Consider the following 8,302-nt stretch of genomic DNA (forward strand, 5'->3'; position numbering starts at 1 on the left):
TCACCCAGGCTGGAGTGCAGTGGCGTGATCTTGGTTCGCTGCAGCCTCCACCTCCAAGGTTCAAGCTATTCCCATGCCTCAGCCTCCTGAGTAGCTGACATTACAAGAATGTGATATACCATATTTTCTTTATCTATTTGTTGATTGATGGGCATTTTGGTTGGTTCCATGTTTTTGTGATTGAGAATTGTGCTGCTTCAAACATGCTTGTGCATGTGTCTTTTTCATATAATGACCTCTTTTTCCCTTTGGGTAGATACTCAGTGGTGGAATTGCTGGATCAAATACTTTTAGTTCTTTAAGGAATCTCCATAGAGTTTTCCATGGTGGTTATAGTAGTTTACATTCCCACCAACAATGTAAACATATCCCCTTTTCACCACATCCATGCCAACATGTGTTATTTTTTGATTTTTTGATTATGGCCATTCTTGCAGGAGTAAGGCAGTATCACATTGTGGTTTTGATTTGCATTTCCCTGATCATTAGTGATGTCGAGCATTTTTTCATATTTTTGTTGGCCATTTGTATATCTTATTTTGAGAATTATCTATTATTTCCTTAGCCTACTTTTTAATGGAATTTTTTTTTCTTGCTGATTTGTTTGAGTTTCTTTGTAGATTCTGGATATTAGTCCTTTGTCAGATGCATGGTTTGCAAGGATTTTCTCTCACTCTGTGGGATATCTGTTTACTCTGCTCATGATTTCTTTCTGCTTCTGCTCTAAAACTTTTTGATAAACTCTCGCTCCTGCTCTAAAACTTGCCTCCGCTTCTCACTCTGCTTTATACCCCTCAGCTGAATTCTTTCCTCTGAGGAGGCAAGAATCAATTTGCTGCTGCTAAAACTTCCCGGCATGTTGTGCCTGAGAGGATGCAAAAGGAGCACGTCTGGATTCAGCCCATCTCTGCCCTGCTGCAATATCCCCATATCCACTCATTTTGTGGGCCCAGGTGGCCACCTTCAGGGAGCACATGGAGAATTCTGCTTGTTGATTCTAGTCACTATCTAAACCGGGAAAGGATTTCTTCTGATGGGTACAGACTTACTCTAATACACTCCTCAAATTCCCATTGGGCCATGCTCCATTATGGGCATCCCCTTAATAGACCAAGTTTTGCACTCTTGTGTGAGTGTATGACCAGGCTATTGGTCACTGCCCGTGAGACAGTAAAAACCCAAATATAGAGGGTCCTGCCATTTTTCAATGCTTCCATCACTGTTAGAAAAACGGCATGCAATTCAGCCCATCGAGCACGTCTATTTTTACCTTATTTGATCAAAATAACAGCATTCCAAACAGGCTGGTATTCATTTACCTTGGAATTGCTATCCATGAACCAAGCAGCTCTTGGTTGATCAGTAGAGAGCTGTTTATCCAGTACTGAGTTTATCAGGCACTAGCAGTTTCTTACACAGTTCCAGAGTCAGTCCTAGGAAAAAAGAAACTTCCTGCTCAAGAGTAGCTCCTGTTTGCATTCTCCATGTAGCATGATCTTCTATAAATCATTTCCATTTTATTATGGAACCCTTCTGGGCACTGTCATTCACATTAGAATGTTCCTCTGACATCATCTGGGACAGCATGGGTATTTTAGATGGCATAGAGGTAGCTTTAGCTAATGTTTCATAGGAAGGCAGTAAATGCCCCTCAAGAGGAAATCCTCTAGTCCAAATCCCAGTAGTTGTTGCTATGAGGTGTTCACAGGCTTTTGCCATAAGCCTCAGGAAATACTTGAGGGTTATCAAATTATGTATTTGTCCCTATCAGCACTCTAGCTTCTACTCTGCACTGTGTTGGCTTGGGTAATCTGGTTCTCATTTAGCATATCCAATTAGTATTGCTGGAAGGGTGAATTTACATGCCTTCTGTTTTATAGTACCAGGTAAGGGAAACATTCCCCAATCAGATACAATGTTCATTCCCATGATAAAATCAGGTAAAAGAGATGCAACCACTTCACATGAGGATGCTCAAATATACCAACTTTCACAATTCTATCAAGCCATGGATTTTATATTCTAGCCTCAGAAACTTCTCTTCCCCATCCCCAGATCATTTTACCCTTTCTTGTGCAAAAGGCTTTGGGTCCCCAGCTGCACTCATTCATTCTCATACTACTATAAAGAAATACCCAAGACTGGATAATTTATAAAGAAAGGAGGTTTAATTGACTCACAGTTCCACATGGCCACACAGGAAATTTTCAATCATGGTGGAAGGCGAAGGAGAAGCAGGCACCTTCTTCATAAGGCGGCAGGAGAAAGAGAGCTTGTGAAGGAGGACCTGTCAAACACTTAAAAAACCATCAGATCTCATGAGAACTCACTCACTATCATGAGAACAGCATGGGGAAAACTGCCCCCATGATCCAATCACCTCTCTCTCTCAACAATGGGGATTACAGTTCCCTCCCTCAATATGATGAGATTTGAGTGGTGACACAGAGCCAAACCATATCACCATATCACCAGCCAAGAGTTGAGCCAAAGAACCCTGGGCCTTTTGAGGTCAGATTTTTTCATTGCAATTTTTTCATTGCAATCTGTGCATTCCAGCTTTTAAAACTTCTCTAAACTGGGAGAAACAGCAAACTCATTTGGGGCCCTTTAATGTTGAGGGACCAGAAACACCTCCCTTTGGTCTATTCAGCCTTCTATAGTGTTGTATTAAGACCTTTGTTCTAACACCAACAATTTTCATTTTATTCATTTCATTTCTTAATAGTCATCTAAAGATTTCCACCCTGCTGGGACAAGTCCCATGACTCCCCCTTTCTTTTTCTTCTTAGTTTCACCCCATCAATGTTTTCTCTTTTTTTGAGATGGAGTCTTGCTCTGTCACCCAGGCTGGAGTGCAATGGTGCAATCTCAGCTCACTGCAACCTCTGCCTCCTGGGTTCAAGTGATTCTCCTGCCTCAGCCTCCTGAGGTAGCTGGGACTACAGGCGTGTGCCACCACACCCAGCTAATTTTTGTATTTTTAGTAGATATGGGGTTTTACCATGTTGGTCAGGCTTGTCCCAAACTCCTGACCTTGTGATCCACCCACCTCTGCCTCCCAAAATGCTGGGATTACAGGTGTGAGCCACCACACCCAGCCTCATCTTATTTTTTAATAATCATTTAAACATGTTCACCTTCCTGCAATGAGGTCTTTGACTCTCTCTTTTGCCTTTTTCTATTCTTTTGTTAATTAACCTAACGTTTTTCTTAGCATCTGTAAGACCTATGAGGGGAAGCTGAGGCAGCAAATGTGATAAGGCTTCTTGAACTGTTCCAGTATGAAAGTGTAAAGTCACATGGCACCTCATGTAGAAGAGGCCCCCTTAACCACAGCATTTACCATGACCTCGGTAATGGGCATATTTAATGGGTGAATCTCCCTGTCATCATAAAGCCAGTCTCATGTGGCTTGCATATGAAGGATATCAGTTGCTTCATCTTGGGTGCTCCACTTGGCATTTACAGGTGGAGTTGGACAGTTCCCCTTTTCAGGGTAAACAGACTTCACACTGGCTTGTATCCCGTCCATGAGGCTGACTGTTCCCTCAGGAATAACCTCCTGTATGTCTGGATCACAGATACCCACCTGCGATTGTTCAATAGTGAGCTGTGGGTCCTGCATCAACCCAAATATGCTCTACCTGTCTGCAGCACTTAAAACCAAAGATACTTCCTCAAAATTAATTGCTCTCATAATCCACTTTAGTAAAGGTTCCTCAGGAAGGCAATGATGCTGATCTACATAATGGAACAATTCCCTCACACTGTAACCTCTTTTTTCAGTAGTTACTTGATCTTGCCCTTTCTTCACATTCACTACTTTCTTGGGAACTACAGTTCTCAGAGGTGCTTTCTGTTGTCCCTGCGTAATTCTGCTCTTAAGGGGCAGCTTTGAGGCTCAGGCTGACTGAAATCTCACCTTGGTGTAGCATTAAGACCTGACCCAGTAGTCTCTTTTAATTTCATTTTAGCTCTCACAGATAATAATAACCAAGGGATTATTTTGATTTTTTCTTATTAGTTTGCATTTCTTTATGCATCCAATGAACCAACTCCTGGGGAATTGAATCCATCTCTAAATTCCACTGGTAAATTTTACTTCTAGTAACTGATCTTAACACAGCTGTGGCTTCATACCATAGGTGACCAGGTTGCCACCCAGGAATCAAAAATTCCTCACCGGATGTGGAGAAATAGGAATGCTTTTACACTGTTGATGGGAGTGTAAATTAGTTCAACCATTGTGGAAGACAGTGTGGCGATTCCTCAAGGATCTAGAACTAGAAATACCATTTGACCCAGTGATCCCATTACTGGGTATATACCCAAAGGATTATAAATCATACTGCTATAAAGACACACGCACACGTTTGTTTATTGCGGCACTATTCACAATAGCAAAGACTTGGAACCAACCCATATGTCCATCAATGATAGAATGGATTAAGAAAATGTGGCAAATATACACCATGGAATACTATGCAGCCATGAAAAGGATGAGTTCATGTCCTTTGTAGGGACATGGATGAAGCTGGAAACCATCATTCTCAGCAAACTATCACAAGGACAGGAAACCAAACACCGCATTTTCTGACTCATAGGTGGGAATTGAACAATAAAACTTGGACAGGGCAGGGAACATCACACACCGGGGCCTGTTGTGGGGTTGGGAGTAGGGGAGGCATAGCAATAGGAGAAATATCGAATGTAAATGCGAGTTGATGGGTGCAGCAAACCAACATGGCACATGTATACCTACATATCAAACCTGCACTTTGTGCACATGTATCCTGGAACTTAAAGTATATTAAAAAAAAATTCCTCACCTTCCACCCTTTTGTCCTTTCTTTTCTCAAGCCACATGTTTCCGTGAACAAGGGCCTTTCCAGCAAATCCCACTTCTCTGACACCAATTGTTTAGGGAAAAACTATCTCCAACCATGTTTTTCTCTACTTTTGTAACTGCCCAATGAGTTCCCCTTACTTGCTGCCTAGACAGAGCTGATTTATCAAGACAGGGGAATTGCAATAGAGAAAGAGTTTAATTCATGCAGACCTGGCTGTACGGGAGACCAGAGTTTTATTATTACTGAAATCAGCCTCCCAGAGACTTGGGGATAATTTGGTGGGTAGGAGATCAGCGAGTTGGAAGTGCTGATTGGTTGGGTCAGAGATGAAATCATAAGGAGCTGAAGCTGTCATCTTGTGCTGAGTCAGTTCCTGGGTGGGGGCCACAAGGCCAGATGAGACAGTTTATTGATCTGGGTGGTGTCAGCTGATCCATTGAGTGCAGTGTCGGCAAAATATCTCAAGCACTGGTGATGTTAGGTTTTACAATAGTGATGTTATCTCCAGGAATAATTTGGGGAGGTTGAGAATTTTGCAGCTTCCGGCTGTGTGACCCCTAACCATAACTTCTAATTGTGTGGCTAATTTGTAAGTCCCGTAAAGGCAGTCTAGTTCCCAGGCAGGAAGGGGTTTTGTTTTGGGAAATGATTGTTATTATCTTTGTTTCAAAATTAAACTATAAACTAATTCCCTCCCGGAGTTAGTTTGGCCTACGGCCAGGGATGAACAAGGACAGCTTGGAGGTTAGAAGCAAGATGGAGTCGGTTAGGTCAGATCTCTTTCACTGTAATAATTCACTGAGTTATAATTTTTGCAAAGGTGGTTTCACTCTCATGCCACAACAATCATCAACACAGAAGAAGACTTCTGTGACTAAATGTGTGTGGGTATTTCCCCCACACGCCAAGCAGTGAATATCAGTTGATACCAGTATTCTAATTCAGTTCTGATACTATCTTTCAGTTCTGTTGCTATCTACCCTGAGATAGTGTCGGATCCCACAGGTTAAGGGTTCCCCAAGACAGCACGCCCCCAACACACACACTAGTCACAAATCTGGGCTTCTGGAATTTCTGACTGACTGTCTTCAAATTGGGGTCCTCATGACCCCCCTTTTTGATTCAATTAATTTGTTGAAGCAGCTCACAGAACTCAGGGAGACACTTACTTATGTTACTTGGTTTATTATAAAGGATATTGCAAAGGATACATATGAAGAGACACGTAAGGTGAGGTATGGGGTAAGAGGCTGTTACAGTAGGCAGCTACTCAGACATAAGCTGGGCAAGAGAGGTCCCCTTCCGCTCCAGTAGGACTGTCAGGCGACCACCATGTGATGGTCAGGCAGTTGCTAAACTGTCTCTCTAAAATCATAATTGGCCACAGCCAGTGCCAGGAAAAGGCAGTCTCCCAATAGATAGAAACATCTGAAATTGGTGATTAGCAGCTTCTCGGTAAGATATCAGGAGTTGGGTGAGTGAGCTCAAGCCTGTGTACTAAGAGGCAAAATGGTGGGGTTTAACTGGTAAATGACCTTCTAGGACATTTGACTGGTAAGGGAACATGTGCTCAACTCTAAACAGTAAACACAGAGCACGCGGCCCCTCCCAAGTGCTGGCAGGCTATGAATGCGGACAGCCCACCTCAAGAGAAGAATCCCGGGAGAAGAGATGCAGACCTCGGAAGCATGCCAATGTATAAAACCCCAGGTCAGAGGTCAAACCGCGCGCTTATCTCTCAACTAGACTGCTTGGCCCTCTTCCAAATGTACTTTACTTCCTTTCATTCCTGTGCTAAAGCTTTTTAATAAACTTTCACTTCTGTTGTAAAACTTGCCTGGGTCTCTCACTCTGCCTTCCGCTCCTCCGTCAAATTCTTTCTTCTGAGGAGGCAAGAATTGAGGTCGCTGCTGACCCATAAGGATTCACTGCTGGTAACATACTTTGGTGCCGTGTGACTCAGATACATTCCCTAGTGCTAACAGGGCAAAGAGCTTTTGTGCCCTCCCTGGGCGTGCCACCCCCCAGGAACCTCCACGTGTTCAGCTCCCAGGAAGCTCCCGTAACTATTTCTTGAGATCCTGCAGAACACAGTATCTAACTATAAGCTTAATATAGTCCAATAAATATATTGACTGATTTGTCATGTGTGCCTCTATCTCCCTTTACATTACCTTGAACTCTTGACTTCCTTTCATTTACTCAAGGTCATTCATCAGCTCCAGAGAGGATCTTTAGAGCACAGCTCTGAGAATAAGAGTGAAGTTCTTGGTTTGTGAATTGTGAAAATTTGGACTTGGGTGCTAGAGACCTTAGCCCTGCAGTGGGCAGAATTTAGGCCCTAAGTGATAGATTTGGAAGAATATGCTGTGCATCAGAGGCAGTTTTCTGATATTCAGATAGGTAAAGATTCTATGGGATGAGAGAGAGAAAACAAATCAGGAGAGAATCACAGGACATTGCCGATGTGTCTCTGAGACAGGTCCGACACTCCTCCCAGCCTCTTGGGGCTGAATCTTGATGAAGGAATAATGACGTATCCCCATATGGGTTTGGGGATCACAGCAGAGAAAGCTTGTGCCTTACTTCCTGGGTGAGATGGAAAGTTAATCATGTTTACAGTCTTGTACTGCAGGCTTAGTGTAGAAGTAGGAGAGATGGTGGCTTGTTGAGTTCTTTTGCACCATGTAGGAAGCAGCCAAAGGTTTTCTATGTCCTCAGGAGACACACAAAATGAGAGAAGAAGGTGGGAGGGAAGAGAAACAGAGAATATGTAGGGGTGTTCTTCCTGAAGTCACAGGAAAGAAGGCATCTCAGCAGATGCTAGTGTGGAGAGATGAGAACAACTTTCTACCCACTTCCTGCCCCAGCCCACAGCCTTGACATCCTGTAGGCTTCCCCTTCCCTATATTAAACCAATCTTGGAAAAAGGAGGAGAAAACTGTAATTGAATCGTATATGCCACCTGGTGGGATGGGGGCTAAAAATAGAAATTCCGTCTTGGTGATAGTGATGTTATATTTCTTGCATACCCAAGCTTTATTCCTCTGACATTTGTGAATATTCTTTCCCTCAAGCTCACCTCAAAGTCCTCATCTTTCAAGAAGCATTCTATTGCCTTTCCTCGGTATCACATAATTTCTGATTTATTTCCTCCCTTGCACAGTGCCGCTGGACTAAGAGAAAGAACATGCAGATTCTAGTTTCAGCTCTCATTTGCTGAATGTCTGATGGAGAACAACTCACTATCTCTGGGTCTCCATTTGCTTTTATGTAAAACAGTATGTCAGAGGAGGTTGTGAGTTAAAGCTGAATAATGGATGAGGAAGTGTTTTTATTATTTTTATTTTTTGAGACAATGTCTCTGTTGACCAGGCTGGAGTGAAGTGGCGTGATCTCAGCTCACTGCAACTTCCTCCTCTGGGGTTCAAGCTATTCTCCTGCCTCAG

The 8,302-nt window shown here is 43.0% G+C and overlaps 2 annotated features.

Moving 5' to 3' along the window:
• Positions 6,020 to 6,069: an enhancer, noted in NCBI's record as "active region_1410". NCBI's record gives its function as "activates an Ori minimal core promoter by ATAC-STARR-seq in GM12878 lymphoblastoid cells {active_cell/tissue: GM12878}" and the evidence as "EXISTENCE:reporter gene assay evidence [ECO:0000049][PMID:35858748]".
• Positions 6,439 to 7,638: an enhancer, noted in NCBI's record as "CDK7 strongly-dependent group 2 enhancer chr1:101918390-101919589 (GRCh37/hg19 assembly coordinates)". NCBI's record gives its function as "activates an origin of replication core promoter dependent on BRD2, BRD4, P300/CBP, MED14 and CDK7 cofactors, with strong dependence on CDK7, by STARR-seq in HCT116 cells {active_cell/tissue: HCT116}" and the evidence as "EXISTENCE:reporter gene assay evidence [ECO:0000049][PMID:35650434]".

The sequence above is a fragment of the Homo sapiens genome, chromosome 1, assembly GCF_000001405.40.
Source record: "Homo sapiens chromosome 1, GRCh38.p14 Primary Assembly".
Taxonomy (NCBI): Eukaryota; Metazoa; Chordata; class Mammalia; order Primates; family Hominidae; genus Homo; species Homo sapiens.